The sequence below is a fragment of the Homo sapiens genome, chromosome 3 (assembly GCF_000001405.40).
Source record: "Homo sapiens chromosome 3, GRCh38.p14 Primary Assembly".
NCBI lineage: Eukaryota > Metazoa > Chordata > Mammalia > Primates > Hominidae > Homo > Homo sapiens.
This window is the reverse complement of record NC_000003.12, coordinates 14,941,539-14,958,090: the sequence shown is the minus strand read 5'-3', so window position 1 is coordinate 14,958,090 and position 16,552 is coordinate 14,941,539. Positions and strand designations below refer to the sequence as shown.

At 43.5% G+C, this 16,552-nt stretch overlaps 1 protein-coding gene and 1 long non-coding RNA gene across 28 annotated transcripts in view, besides 10 other annotated features; one reads left to right on the top strand and one right to left on the bottom strand.

Moving 5' to 3' along the window:
* Positions 1-10,508, bottom strand: part of NR2C2 (nuclear receptor subfamily 2 group C member 2) — a 101,691-nt gene extending 91,183 nt beyond the window's left edge. For 17 of the 23 annotated variants that reach the window (XM_047448826.1, XM_047448825.1, XM_047448830.1 and 14 more), the window contains exon 1: positions 10,185-10,508. The gene's annotated coding sequence lies outside the window, so the exon portion shown is untranslated. Of the gene's footprint in view, positions 1-8,366; positions 9,460-10,184 lie in introns of those variants that run through there. The other 6 variants (XM_011534059.3, XM_047448831.1, XM_047448828.1 and 3 more) reach the window with 3 other exon arrangements.
* Positions 8,604-9,291: an enhancer, noted in NCBI's record as "H3K27ac hESC enhancer chr3:14990307-14990994 (GRCh37/hg19 assembly coordinates)". NCBI's record gives its function as "activates a minimal SCP1, AML or CMV promoter by ChIP-STARR-seq in primed H9 embryonic stem cells {active_cell/tissue: H9 hESC(primed)}" and the evidence as "EXISTENCE:reporter gene assay evidence [ECO:0000049][PMID:30033119]".
* Positions 9,292-9,979: an enhancer, noted in NCBI's record as "H3K27ac hESC enhancer chr3:14989619-14990306 (GRCh37/hg19 assembly coordinates)". NCBI's record gives its function as "activates a minimal SCP1, AML or CMV promoter by ChIP-STARR-seq in naive H9 embryonic stem cells {active_cell/tissue: H9 hESC(naive)}" and the evidence as "EXISTENCE:reporter gene assay evidence [ECO:0000049][PMID:30033119]".
* Positions 9,292-10,315: a biological region, named in NCBI's record as "H3K27ac hESC enhancer GRCh37_chr3:14989619-14990306".
* Positions 9,446-9,505: a silencer, noted in NCBI's record as "silent region_14099". NCBI's record gives its function as "represses an Ori minimal core promoter by ATAC-STARR-seq in GM12878 lymphoblastoid cells {active_cell/tissue: GM12878}" and the evidence as "EXISTENCE:reporter gene assay evidence [ECO:0000049][PMID:35858748]".
* Positions 9,646-9,845: an enhancer, noted in NCBI's record as "active region_19522". NCBI's record gives its function as "activates an Ori minimal core promoter by ATAC-STARR-seq in GM12878 lymphoblastoid cells {active_cell/tissue: GM12878}" and the evidence as "EXISTENCE:reporter gene assay evidence [ECO:0000049][PMID:35858748]".
* On the top strand, positions 9,650-15,312 carry FGD5-AS1 (FGD5 antisense RNA 1). Of its 5 annotated transcripts, none has more exons than NR_046251.1 (2): positions 9,650-10,078; positions 11,937-15,312. It is a non-coding gene; the product is annotated as an FGD5 antisense RNA 1 (long non-coding RNA). The 5 variants fall into 5 exon arrangements; NR_046255.1 differs by lacking the exon at positions 9,650-10,078 and adding an exon at positions 10,198-10,352; NR_046254.1 differs by lacking the exon at positions 9,650-10,078 and adding an exon at positions 10,586-10,977.
* Positions 9,896-10,315: a silencer, noted in NCBI's record as "silent region_14098". NCBI's record gives its function as "represses an Ori minimal core promoter by ATAC-STARR-seq in GM12878 lymphoblastoid cells {active_cell/tissue: GM12878}" and the evidence as "EXISTENCE:reporter gene assay evidence [ECO:0000049][PMID:35858748]".
* Positions 10,336-10,405: a silencer, noted in NCBI's record as "silent region_14097". NCBI's record gives its function as "represses an Ori minimal core promoter by ATAC-STARR-seq in GM12878 lymphoblastoid cells {active_cell/tissue: GM12878}" and the evidence as "EXISTENCE:reporter gene assay evidence [ECO:0000049][PMID:35858748]".
* Positions 10,456-10,885: a silencer, noted in NCBI's record as "silent region_14096". NCBI's record gives its function as "represses an Ori minimal core promoter by ATAC-STARR-seq in GM12878 lymphoblastoid cells {active_cell/tissue: GM12878}" and the evidence as "EXISTENCE:reporter gene assay evidence [ECO:0000049][PMID:35858748]".
* Positions 10,456-11,357: a biological region, named in NCBI's record as "H3K27ac hESC enhancer GRCh37_chr3:14988241-14988930".
* Positions 10,668-11,357: an enhancer, noted in NCBI's record as "H3K27ac hESC enhancer chr3:14988241-14988930 (GRCh37/hg19 assembly coordinates)". NCBI's record gives its function as "activates a minimal SCP1, AML or CMV promoter by ChIP-STARR-seq in naive H9 embryonic stem cells {active_cell/tissue: H9 hESC(naive)}" and the evidence as "EXISTENCE:reporter gene assay evidence [ECO:0000049][PMID:30033119]".
* Positions 15,313-16,552: the final 1,240 nt, after the last annotated feature.

The following is a 16,552-nucleotide window of genomic DNA, read 5'->3' as shown; positions in this document are numbered from 1 at the left end:
AATGAAAACGTTACAGGAGAGGAATTATTTAAACTAGGTCTTGAAGGAAGAATGGAAATGTAGCAAGGAAAGACAGATGGATGACAAGAGAGTTCTAAGCAGAGAGGACAGCTCATACAAAACTGGCAGGTATGAGGAAGAGTGGCATATTTGAGGAATGGCAATGTGGTGTGGAATTATTACAGAGACCAGGGAAGGAGAGAGGCTGACACTGTAGACAACAGAGAATTATCAGGAGTTTGGCAGAAAAATGATGCACTCAAATCTGGATCTTAAAAAAAAAAATTTAGACTGCAGTGTGGAAATGATAGAAAAGACAGAGACTGTAGATGGGAGGCCAGTTAGGAAGTGGTAGCAATAGTAAAGTCTAGAGATGAAGGCAGATTCTTAAAGTAGTGTGTTTTTCCTCGATAGCACACAAATGACAACAGGGCACAGTATATAAAAACTATTTCATATCCAGCCTGGGCAACATCGTGAGACCTTATCTCTAAAAAAATAAAAAATTGTAATACAGACCATAGAATGATAGTAGTAAATCATACTTGGTTGGCCTTATGTGACAGGTTTTATAAGAAATTCTTTCAAATCCAAGTGGATCAATATCACCCCACCAACAACAAAGAAGCAGAGAACAGAACAATGACTTTGAATTAGCTCTTCCAGGCTCACAAAGTGATAGCTAACTAAACCTTGCAACCAGAGTTTCTTTAGTGAAGTAGGGCACAGACTTCACTGCAGTGAAAAGCTGGGCTCTGGAAACACCTGAATCTCCAGTTTCAGATAACAATGAACAAGTCCTGGGACAAGGAGACGCTGCCTTCATTAATAGGAATGAGTGAGGCTGCCTTTCCCTCCACAATCAACTGATTCAAATCATCCATATTTATGTGTTACATGGCTTATAAATATAACATGCAAAGTATCTACTGTCTTGGTATTTCCTTAGCTAAACAACTATATTGGGTTCTGAGGCTCAGGCACTAAGCTCATCTCTCAGATACTGACCATATGAGGTTATAGTGAAGATTTGATCTTAAATGTGTATACGTTGTGCTTGGGACATAGAAATGCAACACATGGTAGCTATCATTGGTGAAAGGTGATGGTGCCACTTTTGCTTTCTCAAAGAAATCTGAAAGTAACTCAAACTGTAAAATGTGTATTATGATTAGGAATAGGTCTGATTTTCACATAAGGCTCACATGAAATTTAACTATATACACATGGAAGTAGTGTAAACACACACACAGCCGGGGCGGTGGCTCATGCCTGTAATCCCAGCACTCTGGGAGGCCAAGGCAGGCGGATCACCTGAGGTCAGGAGTTCGAGACCAGCCTGACCAACATGGAGAAACCCTATCTCTACTAAAAATACAAAATCAGCCAGGCATGGTGGCATATGCCTGTAATTCCAGCTGTTTGAGGCTGAGGCAGGAGAATGGCTTGAACCTAGGAGGCAGAGGTTGCAGTGAGCTGAGATTGAGCCACTGCACTCCAGCCTGGGCAACAAAAGTAAAACTCTTGTCTCAAAAAATAAATAAATAATAAAAAAACAAACACCCACACAAAGCATTTGTAATTCGCCCTGTTAAACTGTACAACTGGGCAAAACAATGGGGCTAAATTAGGACAAAATCTTACAAATATTTAAAAATAAACCAATACCTAATAACTACTTGCAAAATACTACTGGGCATAGAACTCTTGATAGGTACAAGGCATTCAGTATAAGTCTAATTATTCTGATTGTTAGAAGTCTGTTCATATTCATGGGAAAATTAAAATGGAAGGATTTAGATAGCCTGAGAGAGGATAAAAAATAAGAAATACATAGCTTGAAACTTGCAATCATAGATCAAGACTTGAAAGTAGAAAATGAAATTCAAGTGGCAGGTTTAGTGTAATACAAATGTTCATCAACAGAAAAGATACTCACTGGGATGCCTCTAAGGTTAAGTTTAGGTATACTTCCTGTCAATGGAAAGCCAATTATTTATTTAGACTCCAAGTTTACTTAGCTTTAGGGTCAGGTAATTTCCTTTCCATTGTGACCCTCCATAGGAAAGTTGTTTCTTCCATATTCAAAGCAACTGTAAAAAAGTGCAGCAATGATATGTATATGGTAGAAGTAGCAAGGCTGGGTGAGTGACTAGTAGGGAAGAGAAGTGGCTTTCACATAAATGAAGTTCTTACATATTTATAGTATCAGAGCAGTTCTACAATTTTCTGTGTTGACACCTCCCCTAAAAAAGTCACTACATACTGTGGATGATTTTTTCTTATCCTACCAAGAGCCCAAGTGTAAGGGTGATGTGGACTTTCTTCATATCTATCAGTAAGAGCCAGGGTAGATGGATGGAAGGAAAGCAGGATAAATTCTCTTGACATCCACAATGTGCTTTAAATCAAACTAGGCATGATTTAATCCTTAGCATACCTTCTGAGTATGTAATATTAGCTCACCAATGAAGATGGAAAAAACTGAGACTCAGCACTTGTAACTCGTTTCAAATCATCCAGCTACTAAGCGATGGAGCTAGGATTCCAACTGAGGCCTCTTTGACTCTAAAATCGCAACATTCCCTCTAGATCACAGTGCCCTTCAAAATAATTTCCCAGAAAAAAGGAAGTCAAGGAGAGAATGAAAAAAAAAAGTGACAGGAAAGAATTATCTAAGGGAACAAAAATTGCTTACATCAATAAGCTAGATCATTTAATAACTGATATACACAACCACTAAGTCGTAATATGTGACTTATGTTTCAGTATTGCTAACAGAAATTTCTGAGGCTGCTCCACCCAGGTAGTACCATGGCAGTTCTTTTAGAACTTTGAACACATTCTTCCCTTAAAACTTAACCTACACAATAATCACATTAATTAAAATAGTGAGAACAATTTTACTAAGTAAAACTTTTTACTTAACTACAACACGCAGATACAAAAGGGCACAAACCAGCCAGGCTCGGTGGCTCCTGCCTGTAATCCTAGCACTTTAGGAGGCCGGGATGGCTGGACTGCCTGAGCTCAGGAGTTCAAGACCAGCCTGGGCAACATGGTGAAAACCTGTCTCTACTAAAATACAAAAAATTAGCTGGGCATGGTGGCACACGCCTGTAGTCCCAGCTACTCGGGAGGCTGTGGCACGAGAATCCTTTGAACCTGGGAGGCGGAGATTGCAGTGAACCAAGATCGTACCACTGCACTCCGGCCTGGGCGGCAGAGGGAGACTCCATCTCAAAAAACAAAAAAAGGCACAAATCGTAAATGAACAGTTTGATGAATTTTCACTAACTGAACACACAGAACACACATGTAAATGCCACTCAGATCAGAAAACAAGACATTACCAATACCCCCAAAAGTCCCTCTCACACCCCTTCCCATAGTCAATAACTTCTCTTCCCTCTCCTGACTTTTATACTACTGGCATTACTTTATAATATTATTGCACTGTTTATAATACACTTTTTGGTATGTCTGGCTTCTTTTGCCCAACATTATTTTTGTAATAACCATGAGAAGTGAATCCATTTTCACTGTCGTACAGTATTCTAATGTACGACTATGCCCAATTTATTTCTCCATTCTATAGCTGATGAACACTTAGATTGTTTCTAGTTTGGAGTCCTTATGATTAGTGCTCCTATGAACATTTTCACACATGCCTTTTGATGTACTGCTTTCTTTTCTTCGTTTGAAAATTTTACTATTTTTAAAAATTAACTGTTTTACTTTTATCTATTTTTAATTTTTATTCTCGAGAAAGTACATTGTTTATTTCTTTAGAAAAGACATATTATAAATTTATTTTATTTTTAAAAATCTGTATTATATTAAATAAGTCAACAACACAGTCTAATTATTAGCCTTTCCAGTTAAAAGCTGATATATACTTTGTGACATCTGCTTTTAGTCTTGGTAAAGCAATCAATTAAAAAATGATTTTTCAATTCCAGGGTTAGTCATCTTATCAACCTAATAAAAAGATGCATCATTACAGACACCATAGTGGTGGGACAGGGGACAAGAACGAGTGTGGTACAAATGACATATCCAAAATGTTCTAGAAATAATACCTAATCAGATTCACTATACAACAAATACACTGGGGGAAATGCAGCATGAAGCCCGCTAGTATTGTGTAACTTCTCAAGAGCCATCCAGCCTCAGTTGTTTTTTTTTTTTTTTTTGAGATGAAGTCTCGCACTGTCGCCCAGGCTGGAGTGCAGTGGCGTGATCTTGGTTCACTGCAGCCTCCACCTCCCGGGTTCAAGTGATTCTCCTGCCTCAGCCTCCCGAGTAGCTGGGATTACAGGCGCCTGCCACCACGCCCAGCTAATTTTTTGTATTGTTAGTAGAGATGGGGTTTCACTATGTTGGCCAGGCTGGTCTTGAACTCCTGACCTCATGATCCGCCTGCCTTGGCCTCCCAAAGTGCTGGGATTACAGGGGTGAGCCACCACGCCTGGCCATACGTGAATCTTTCTTTTTAAGGAACATGGGTGGGCAGTCAGGTAGGAAACTTTTTCCCCTGCATAGCTTTTATCAACATATGAACAACAAAGGTAAATAAAGCAGCTCCCTGTAAAACCAGGAAGCCTTCAGGCTTGAGTCTAGCCCTACCAGCCTCTCATTTCTCTTCACTTTTCAGCAGCAGTCACCCCATTTTCCAGGCCCCAAGACCTTTTCTCACACCTCTCACTAACGCAAACAGGGGGGAAATATTCTTTTACACTTGGGCACTTGGAATGAAATTCCTCTCCATCTACATGTTAACATTTCAGGGATTAGAATCTTTGAGGTAACTGTTAATAATTATGGAATAGAAAGTTTCACCTCCTATTAAAGGACTTCAGGCCTCTTATTACAGTGAAGGAGGTACTTTTTATTGCCCCTAAAAAATCACACTTGCCTCTGAGGCTGACTTTCATCATTACAGGCCAACTGGAGTCCAAGGGTAACACAGAAAAAACAGTTAAGTGTCTGAGCTAGCCTATTCCCTTTCTGTCCTTAACAATTCACCTCCCATCCTTCTATTCTAAGACTTCCAGGTACCAGGGGTCTGCATCTGCATTTATTGTACCTTTAACAAATGCCTACGCCAATGCCCTGATCTGGCTTTCATCCCTCTAGTCATTCCCACTCCTCATCATTGTTGAGCTGTGCTAGTTGAGCTGTTGTTCTTGGGCAGTTCTTCCTTTTGGTATAGAGCTCCTGCTGCTTTACTCTCTAGCACTCAGGACCTGAAGTGAGCAAGGGGAGTAGGACTGCTACCTCGGGTAGCAATAGTGGGATATGGGGAAAGAGTGGCAGGATGGGAGAGAATGACAGAGAATCTCAGCCTCTGGCATATTAAGTTGAAGGCAAGCAAACCTCCAACGAATAAGGAAGAACATATCTTTTACAATGTGTAACAGGAGCACAAATGTATCCATTAAGTTAAAGATGATGATCACACAGGGAAGAAAAAAGGCATCATTTAAGGCCCTCATAATTAGCAATAAAGTAAAAAGAGGTAAACGAAAATCTAGCAGGGGATCCTTACATCAAGGCTGGACTTGGGGTCTAGACCACTTCCAATTCTGAGATTCTAAGATTCCTTCACGGACTCCCCCCGTGTGGTATTTTTTAAGATGATACTTGTACAGGAGATGGTTTGGGACTAAAGGAGCGTATGGCTTATAGGTAAGAGAACTCAACAATAAAAATCCCAACGGAGGGCCCTCGATATGTGGAGACACTCAGGCAGCTAGACACAGACCAGTGGCTCAGTGCCACGGCTGAAGACAGGGCTGCTCCACAAAGACTCACCTCCCTTGTTCTCAAAGTCATTCAGACAACAAGTATCCGCTATCCCTGGCCCCAATCTCAATGCTGGCTCCCACCTCCCTGTTTGACAAATGGGGAATTATAAGCCTCAGAGAGGCTACCAACTCCAGGTTCTGAAGCCAGGCCTTTCTGCCTTCATAGCCCAAGCTCTGTCACTGCACTGCCCTTGCCATGTTACTCCTTGGAGACAGATGCTAAAAACTTCCCAGTTGCTGGGCGCAGTGGCTCACACCTGTAATCCCAGCACTTTGGGAGGCCGAGGCAGGCGGATCACGAGGTCAGGAGTTTGAGACCATCCTGGCTAACATGGTGAAACACCGTCTCTACTAAAAATCCAAAAATTAGCCAGGCGTGGTGGCGGGCACCTGTAGTCCCAGCCACTGGGGAGGCGGAGGCAGAAGAATGGCGTGAACCCAGGAGGCAGAGCTTGCAGTGAGCCGAGATCGCACCACTGCACTCCAGCCTGGGTGACAGAGCGAGACTCCCAAAAACAAAAAAAAACACACAAAAAAAACTTCCAGCCATCCTCATAAAGTGAGGAGGTTGTTACGCACAGGGATTTTCTATAAAAGAATGATCACGAAACAAAACTTAAAAGTCACTGTGAATACAACTACTGAAAGCAATAAATAACTTAACGATGTAAGACAACATATAGCTGTTTTACTAAACTAGCAGTTCTTTGGTTACCCTGAGTAATTAGCTTAAGGAATTGAACAAGTGATACCAAAAATCTTTGAGCAAGACAGAAAAAAAAACCCAAAAATAAACAGTTAAACTATTATTATTTTTAAAATACCATAACAATATCTTATTTTAAAAGTTTTACAATATAAAATAAGTTAATACAAATGTTTTATTTACCACACTTTCGAGTAGAAACTTGATGTATACTTAACAAAATTTGCTTTTAACCTTGGTAAAGCAATTAAAAGGTGATTTTCAATAATTTCATTAAATGAATCAATTTATCTTTAGAAAGATAAATATCCCGAATTAATGGCTACAGAGACTTTCAACTCCCAATTCCCTGTGAACCCACTGGAGGCTTGTTCCTTCTCTCCAATCCCCTGTGATGGTGAGACAAAAATCAGAATATTTGATTTCAAGAAAATCATGGTAGCTTAGTGCTTCGTTTCTTCAGCTAAAGTAAATAACATAAGTTATGTTTGGGCTATTTATTTCTTCACATATGAACTTATTAACTTTCATGCACTTAAACTTGTAATTCAATCATAAAAAAATGAGTGGGAAAAACTATTGAAATGGGTCATTTTATCCATATTTATGTCTCCAGAAAGTGGCATATCTGTCAGAAATCACTTGCTAAATTCAACCAAATACCGTAACAGGCTTATTATTGCTGGCAGTGCTATCTGAATTGCCAAAGAGGCTCACACAAAAGGTATCCATCAATGTACAGCAACTTAGTTATCAGTGACATCATAAATTATCAACAATTCATTCAACAAATAGTGCCAGGCACTCTTCTAAGTGCTGGATAAGTAATGGTAAACAAAATGTATTCCTGCTCTCACAGCTTACAGTGTGGTAAGGACAGACATTAATCAAATAATCACATAATAGAGTGTGTAATTATAAAGTGAGATAAAGATTATAAAGAAAAGAATAAAAAGAATCTGATTTAGACTGGCAATGGGAATTAGGACTTCCCTGAAGAAGTGATGCTTGAGCCAATATCTGAGGTAGGGTGGGGGTGGGGGGTAAGCTTACACTGTAAGCTACACTGGTCAAGGAAGTTGAAGGTAGGCCAGTGTGTCTAGAGCACAGGAAGCTAGGGGTACCACAGATAAGAAAATAATGAAAAGCCTTGGAAAGGTTTTTAAACATGGAACAGGAAGCCTCTGCCATTACGTGGGTTCTAGTGGCGCCTGAACAACATACTGCCTGTAAGAGAGTTCTGTAAATCATAAAGCACCCTATACTTTGGTTAGTACTATTTAGTTCCATTATTTTGTTTTCCAAACTTTTGTCCTGGATGCCATGTAACTAGCTGCAAGCACAGAGCCAAAACTAGAATCTCGGTGTTCGAATCTATTGTTTTTGCCCCTACACCACACTGCATAAAAATTTCATTATTTATATCACTTAATTAGTCCAATGTCTATACCAGTAGTTCATAATGACAACAATAACTCTATTTACACAGTATTTGCTACATGTCAGGCACTTTTCTAAGCTCTATTATTTACATTAACTCATCTAATCTTCAGTTCAGGAAGGAAGGCTCTATTATTGTCCAGATGAGGACAGTGAGGCTAGGAAAGGTAGCTTACACAAAATCACACTGCTAGTAAAAGTTGGGGAGTTGCTAACCACAACACTAAAACATTTTATGTCTGTGTATGTATGTGTATAAATATCTCTATCTCGAGAGAGAGAAAGAGAGAACTCACACACAGAGAATTATATTCAACTCCAGCCTGGGCGACAGAGTGAGACCTTGGTCTCAAAAAATAAATAAATAAATAAATAAATCATATTCACATGTTTGAGGACCAGTGTCTTACTTTTTTGTATTCCCAGCCTAGCACATAGTGCCTGGAGTATTCGTAGCACTCAGGAAATACTTGATGAACTGAAAATGTATATAAGAGGCTGACGAAGGATTTGAATCTGGAAGTAAAGTGAGTTTCTGAGGCCCTCCTCCCAAGTCATGTATTCATCAGTAATTCATATGAAGGCTGTATTTTCCTCGACTTTCTTATTACATTGAAGATTTGTTCCTCACTACCGTTGCTATATTTCACAGCCTTTGGCTTGGAAACAAAGTGGGATAATGGACAATTACTAGTTCCAACCAACTCTCCAGCCACAAGCAGCCAGTTCTCGATCACATCAAATGCTCTTCCTCCAGGGCCGTTACACGGGATGTCCTGTCTGGAATGCCATTCCTCCCTTGGGTTCCTCTGTTCAAACATCACTTACTCAGAGAGGCCACCCTGACCATTCCATCTAAATTAACGCCTCAGGTCTTCTTCAGCAGGTCATTTGGCTTCTTTTCTTTCACAGAACTTATGACTCTCTGGAATTATTTGTCTATTCACCCCCCAGCCCCCAACTCTAGTGAGGGCAGGGGTCTTGTACAGCTGGTTCTCCAGATGTGTCCCCAGTGCCTAAAAAACTAAGTCAACATGTATTCAGCGAACGAATGAGAAGAGAATCACTCCCGAATTGTGCTCTCTCAAACCCCAAATACCCTTAACGCTTGCCTCTCCTGGTGGCTGTAATCCCATTTTTAACAATAACACCATTTTCAAGTGACTCTGAAGCTCGCAAAGTAGCGTTGCCTCCATTTTCTGAGTAGAGCCCCACAAACAATGCTCAGAAGGGAGGTCCGGCCTGGCAAGAATGCGCATGCCCCCCATTTACAGTCGATAAAATTGAGCCTCATTAGGGGATTCGCCAAGGCCGCTGCGAAATAACGAGCAGGAGCCCTGAAAAGTGTCCTGGTTCCGAAAACCTCTTCCCACGAGAGCGCATCGTGGACTCGAAATGCTTCATCACCTTTATTACTATTGTTCCTCAGTACTCATTCGAGACGCGTTCCAGGCGGAGGGAAGCAGCCCACCTGCTGACCCAAGACCAGGCGCCGGCCTCTCCACCCGGCCGCGCCCCTCGCGCCCCGCCCCCGGCCCCGCCCCCGCCGACCCGGCCCCACTCTTCGCCCCGGCCTCTACTCCCGCCCCGCCAGGGCTCCCGCGCCCCATAAGGACCACCCTCTTCCGCCTCAGCCAATCAGCAAAGCTTAGGGGGGCGGTGCCACAGGCCCCGGCCCTCCTATCTGGGCGCCAATTAGCCAGCCCATCCGTCGCTCACGAGGTCGCGCCTCGCACCCGCCTTCCTCCTTTTCTTTTACCCTCCCCTTCAGAAAAAACGGCGGTTGGGCTGCGACGGCCGCCAAAGGCGGACTAGAAGCGGAGGGGTGAAAATCCCGGCAGAGAAGGAAGAAGGGACTGCAGGCGGGAGGAGGAGGAGGATAAGGAGGAAGGGAGCCCGCCCAGCCGGAGCCATCTCCGTCGAGAACAAAATGGCGGCGCTGGCGGAGGGCCAACTATAAGGCGGGGCCGCGGCCATTCCCCCTCCACCCCCACCCTTGCGCCGGCCGGGCCGGTCAGGGGGAACCCGCTCGCTTCGCCCGGCCGCGGGCGGGGAGGGGAGGGGAGCGGCCCGGCCCACTATGCAAAGCGCCGGGCGCCGCCGCCGCCACCCCGTGGCAAAGGTAAAAGGGTCGGGTTCAGCCGCCGCCGCGGCGCCTCCATGTCCGCGCGCCAGGCCCGCCCCCTCCGCCGCCGGCCCGAGCCCGCCCGACCCTCTTTCAATTTTACCTCAGGATTTGGCGCCAAAGCGGCCTCGAAGCGGGTCCCGTGTCTGCGGCGGGCGGCCCCCGGCGCGGAGGGCAGGGCGCGGGGAGCCCGGGCTCCCGGTGTCGGCGGATGGCGGGAGCCCGGGGGCCGCGGGCTCGCGGGGCAGCGGGCGAGAGACGAGACGCCGAGGTGGGAGCGGGGTGGCGGGGACGGGCCCGGGGGCGCCGCCGGGGTCGCGGAGAAGGGGGGGTTTGTTATTGTTTTTGTCAGTGAAAGGTCAGAGTTCGTGACCCCGGTGCCGCCGCCGCCGCCGCCCGCGCGCTGGTAGGAGGAGGGCGAATGTTCTTCTTCCTCTTCCCAGCGCCAGCCTCGCCGCCGCGGCGGGGGGCGGGCGAGAACGCGATTGGCTGAGGCGCGCGCGCGCACCGGAACGCCGCAGCCGGCGCTCGGTCCATCCGGCCCGTGGGCTGTGGGGCCCCGGGCGGCGGCGGCTACGTAGCTGCCGCCGGCCTTGGCCGCGGCCGGGCGGGCGGATATGTGGCTTAAATGGCGCAGGCGTCGGGGCCTAGAGGCTGAAGGGCTGGTCGTCCTAAAAACTCGTGGACGTCGCGCACGGTTACCCGGACGCAGGCCCGCCCCTCTGGGGAACCGCGAGCTCCTCGCAGCTGGGTGGGGACCGTCCTCGCAGTGGCGGCCTCCACCCTGCCTTCTCGCTTAGCCAAGGCTTCTGGAAGGCTCGCAAAGTGTCTGTTGTTGGAAGAAGCCGGGCCCTGACTGGCGCGACGGATTCTCCCAGCCGCTCAGCAGAGCGTCTGTAGGTCGGAAGTGGGGGTTGTATTGGGTGGGTATTGAGCTCTTCGGCCCTTCCTCGGTACTGATAGTTTTTAATTTAGGTTTTAAAGGTCTAAAGATGCGCCCGTTCTGGCCATCTCAGGTGAAATGTTGAAACGCCCCAGAACCTATAATTTTTGGTTTCTTAGTAAACATACGATCCAGATCTTGTGTAATTCCATGCCCCTCCTCCTCGAAATTTGGAAGTAGTACATGGTAATAGGGATGTGTAAAGCAGCTTTTAGCAGCATTGCTTAAATTTATTTGAAGAAATTGGCCTGTCTTGCTCTTAAACTCTTGGGCTGTAGGTTTTCCTTACATATTTCTCTGTTTTATGTCGTGGTTTTGACTTGCCTGGGAAGGTGCAGGCGCTTATTTATCCTAAATGCCCTGAAGTGTTTAGGCTACAGGCTGTAGATCTTATACTGATTTTTTTTCTTCAGTTTTCTTGCTTATTAAGAATAAATATTGACTCCAGAATGGATGGGTTAACTTTTTTTCCCACACAGTATCCATTTGGGTTTTTATCAGGATGACTCCAACATTTAGTATTTTTTTTTCCATAATCTTATAATATTTCTATTTGGTAAAAAATGTTTTAAACACAGCTATTTCCCCTTCCTCCTTTTTCTGACGTTGCAAAATTGGGAAAAGAGCTAGGTTCGTTTTGTCATGGTAAAGCACAGCTCTTGAAATTGGAAGAGGCCTTAAGGGAATGTGGTCAAATTTTTTTCTTGCAGAAAGATTTTCCGATTTTAGGGGTGAAGTGGGTGAGAACTAGAAAGGTCAAGTGATGTACCTGAGAGGCAAAAGCAATTGCGTTTTTGCATTTTTGAAATTTGCTGTTTGATATTGGAATACATTCTTAAATAAATGTGGATCATTTTAATGCACATTTCTCACTTTATTTTTTTGCTAATGACTTATTGCTGTTTATTTTAGAATATGCTTTTTGTCTAATGATGTTAGATAAAAAGCAAATTTGGAGCAGTTTTCTTATTCGAGTTCAAAATGGTTCATAAAGCAGCGAAGACAACTCAAAACATCAGTAACACATTTGGCCCAGGAACTGCTAACAAACATACAGTGCAGTGGTGGCTTAAGAAGTTTTGCAAGGAAGAGAGCCTTGAAGATGAGGAACGTGATATGGGCCATGGGAAGTTGACAACGACCAATTGAGAGCAATCATTGAACTACATGAAAAATTACAGAAGAACTCAGCGTTGACTATTCTACGGTCATTAGGGTCGTTCAGCATTCGAAGCAAATTGGAAAGGTGAAAAAGCTTGATAAGTGGGTGCCTCATGAGCTGAGCGGAAATCAAAACTATCGTTTTGAAGTGTAGTCTTCTTTTATGCTACGCAACAACAAACCATTTCTCAATCGGATTGTGACATGTAATGAAAAGTGAATTTTATACAACAACCAGCTCAGTGGTTGGACCAAGAGGCAGCTCCAAAGCAGTTCCCAAAGCCAAACTTGCACCAAAAAAAAGGTCATGGTCACTGTTCGGTGGTCTGCTGCCCATCTGATCCACTACAGTTTTCTGAATCCTGGTGAAACCATTACATCTGAGAAGTATGCTCAGCAAATTGGTAAGATGCACCGAAAACTGCAATACCTGCTGCCTGCATTGGTCAACAGAAAGGGCCCAATTCTTCTCCACGACAACACCTGACTGCGTGTCGCACAACCAGTGCTTCAAAAGTTGAAGGAATTGGGCTACAAAGTTTTGCCTCATCCACCATATTCACCTGACCTTTCGCCAACTGACTACCACTTCTGCTAGCATCTTGACAACTTTTTGCAGGGAAAACACTTCAGCATGGTGCAGAAAATGCTTTCCAAGAGTTCGTCAAATCCTGAAGCACGGATTTTTATGCTACAGGAATAAACAAACATTTCTCATTGGCAAAAATGTGTTGATTGTAATGGTTCCTGTTTTGATTAATAGAATATGTTTTAGCGTAGTTACAATGATTTAAAATTCGCAGTCTGGAAATTTAATTTTTGCATCAACCTAATATTTCTATGGTAAATCCTTGCAAACATGGAAACAATGCATTTGGCCCAGTGCTTTGTGGTTGTGTACTCTTTTTCTTTGTTTTTTTAATAGATGGCATTGGCCGGGCATGGTGGCTCATGCCTGTAATCCCAGCATTTTGGGAAGGTGAGGTGGGTGGATCACCTGAGGTCAGGAGTTCAAGACCAGCCTGACTAACATGGTAAAACCCCATCTCTACTAAAAATACAAAAAAATTAGCTAGGCGGGGTGGCGGGCATCTAATTCCAGCTACTTCATGAGGCTGCGACAGGAGAATCATTTGAACTCGGGAGGCAGAGGTTGCAGTGAGCCGAGATCACACCATTGCACTCCAGCCTGGGCGATGAGCGAAACTGTCTCAAAAAAAAAAAAAGTTGGGGTCTCGCTGTGTTGACCAGGCTGGTCTCGAACTCCTGGCCTCAAGTGATCCTCCCATCTTGGCCTCCCAAAGTGTTAGGATTACAGGCGTGAGCCACCACACCCTGCCTGGTTGTGTACTCTTTTAAATACTAAGTTTTTAATGTTAAATGCTGCTTTTAGATACACTGTAAAAATACACCTATCAATGAGTTTTTTTATTAAAAACATTGCAATTGTACTAGACTTTAAATACTAAGCAATAATTCAGGCTTCAATGTTGGTTTATAGTTTTCTCATTTCTTTCATTTAATACCTCTGTAAAATGAAGCAGTTACTTCCATTTTCCTGAGGTGAGATAAGTGCCCTGCACAATGTTATAGGCCCAGTAAGTGAGACTGGAGCTCTGATCTAATCCCTTTGACATTAAAGTTTGTGCAGTAAACCAGCTATGTCAGTTTGCCACATTTGTAATAGTGTTCAATAAATTTTCACTTAAAGGTTTAATATTAAAGTAGTAGCAAGAATTCATAACCTTAATTGGCTTTAACAGCTTTTCTTTCCCTGAAAACAGATGCATATGTACACATGCACACAGATTGCTTACAATATCAGCACGTAAAAGGCCTTTGCACATTGAAGTCGGCACTGCTTTGGTGCCTTTTTTGTTTTTTGGCTCGGTGTTTTGACTGCAAGTCTTTTTGGATAGAATTTTATAGTTAGAAAGTAGCTAACACTTGGGTTTTATAGGCACAAAAAACAAGTCTTATACTAGCTGTACTTTATTTTTTGAGTTCTTATTAATGAGGAACATCCACTTTTGCATTGACAGTGATTTCAAGATTGCTTTATCAGCCTTTAAAGGATTCTTGACTAGTCGTGCACATCAGAACTGCCAGGTCCCCAGTGGTTCTGAAGCAGTAAGCTTTGGGTGGGCTCTGGCATCAGCACTTTCACTAAGCTTCACAGATAATTCTGATGCATACTCCAGGCCTGAACCACTGATCAATTTGAAACATGCATAACAAAGCAAAAAAAGTTTTGTTTCACCTTTTGAAATACAGTTAACTCTTTTACCATGCCAGAGATCATTCAGAGAGACAGGTCGTTGCTCCGGAGTGATACAGATCTGGCAGTACCCAGCCCTTGTGTGTGTGCGTTAGCTCAGCACCTGCCCACACTGCGAGCCCCCGTAGGATGTGCCTTGTCCTTCCCTGTTTCAGCACTTAACACACTACCTGGTACAGAGTATGTAGTGGGCATCTGTTGAATGAATGCTTTTCCCAGTAGCAGTGTATTCATACAATATTAATATAATTGTCCCCTGGCTTACAGATAAAAATGAAAGCATCAAGTGCCCAGTGAGTGAGACCCAGGTGTTCTTCCTCCACCCCTAGTGGTCCCCTGGGCAGGTCTTTTTTTTTTTGTAACACTCACCAGTCTGTTCTGTAGTCAATCATTGATTGACTTGTCTGTGAACTTGGAGGAACTGTTTCATAGTTTCATTAGCACAGAGTAAACATGTTTGCCATGCAAGGTTATTTTGCATCTGCATTTAAGTGATAATGTTGAATCAATGAAAAGTGTTGATTAAGCAGTAGTTGTAGATATGCTAAGTTTTTCAAATTACTAATATCAAGTGGAGATTGTTTTTACTTTTAAGGGTATTGCTTTTGTGATAGCATAAATAATGGTTTTCCTTTTTTGTAATGTAAATTAATTGCTGGCAACTTTTGTATTCCCATAGACTGGGGAAGCTTAATTGCCTTTACAAGTACTTATGTACAACTTTGTATCAAATTTTCTGTAATAGTTTATGCTTTAGTACTATATATGTACTAATAATTTTATCTGACTTCTGTTTATATCATTTGTACAATTACATGGTTGTAAAATAAACTTTTAAACCTCACGTAATTGCTGTTAGCCACCTATCCCCACCCCCTTTTTTTAACTGTGGAATCTGAGTCAGGTACAGTGGCTTACGCCTGTAATCCCTGTGCTTTGGAAGACTGAGGCAGGTGGATTGCCTGAGTTTGAGACCAGCGTGGGCAACATGGCGAAACACTGTCTCCACTAAAAAATACAAAAATTAGCTGGGGTTGGCCTGCCCCTGTAGTCTCAGCTACTCAGGAGGCTGAGATAGGAGGAATGCTTGAGCCTGGGGAGGTAGGGAAGTCAAGGCTGCAGTAAGCCATGGTTGTGCCACTGCACTCCAGCCTGGGTGACAGAGCAAGACCCTGTCTCAGAAAAAAAGTATGGAATCTGGACAGATAGATATAATCTCTGAAGAGCAGATTGCACATTCCTTACACTTAATACCTTATCCTGTTTAATCTTACAATAACCTTGTGAAGTAGATGGTATTATCCTGTTTTTGCAGCTAAATAGGCCGAGACCTAAACAAAGAGGATGATTCCTCCAAAGTTGCCTGGCTAGCAAGGGGTGGAACATTTATTAGTAGCTCTCTCTGCTTGTTTCTTCTCTTCTGTCCTTGAGGGCTGTGAGAGGAAGAAAACTCTTCTACGCATCTCCATGCTGTGTCAAAGTCAAGCTCTAGCACAGCCTGCCAGGCTATTTGGGGAGGCCTCAACTTCTATATAAATGGCCCTTGTTCTTCCCAAGAGGAGAATAGAGAAAGGCTGTTTTCCCTGTGGTGGATTAATGGTATGAGAATGCAGGGACACCAAGAATGCATTTCCTAGCCTCTTCCTGAACTGCTTTTCTGAGACTCACACCCCTTTAGTCTCTGGGGCTTCCTGGGCCTTGAAAAAGTGTTACTTCCAAGTTGTACTTGGCTCAAATATCTCAGAATAGTAGTTCTGTCCTTTGAGATAGGCATGAACCTCTTTGAGAATCGGATGGAAAGTTACATTCTCAGAAAAATGCACTGACCCTTGATCCCTGTTTTTAGAGTATGTGTTGTTCCAAGGGAAGTTTTTTGTTTTTTAAATGTTACCTAAGTAGGAACTGTCTGTGTCAATCTTAAGGATAAGAGGTGGAGGGGAGAGTTCTACTGGTGAGCATGTAGACTTAGCCGTTTGTTTTCAGTTAAGTATAATAACCTTGGTATTAGCCATGCATGTGTCCCTGAGTCCCCAGCCTCTTCTAGTTCTTTTGTTCCCCTCCATTGCCCCTCCATCCCCCCACCAGAAAG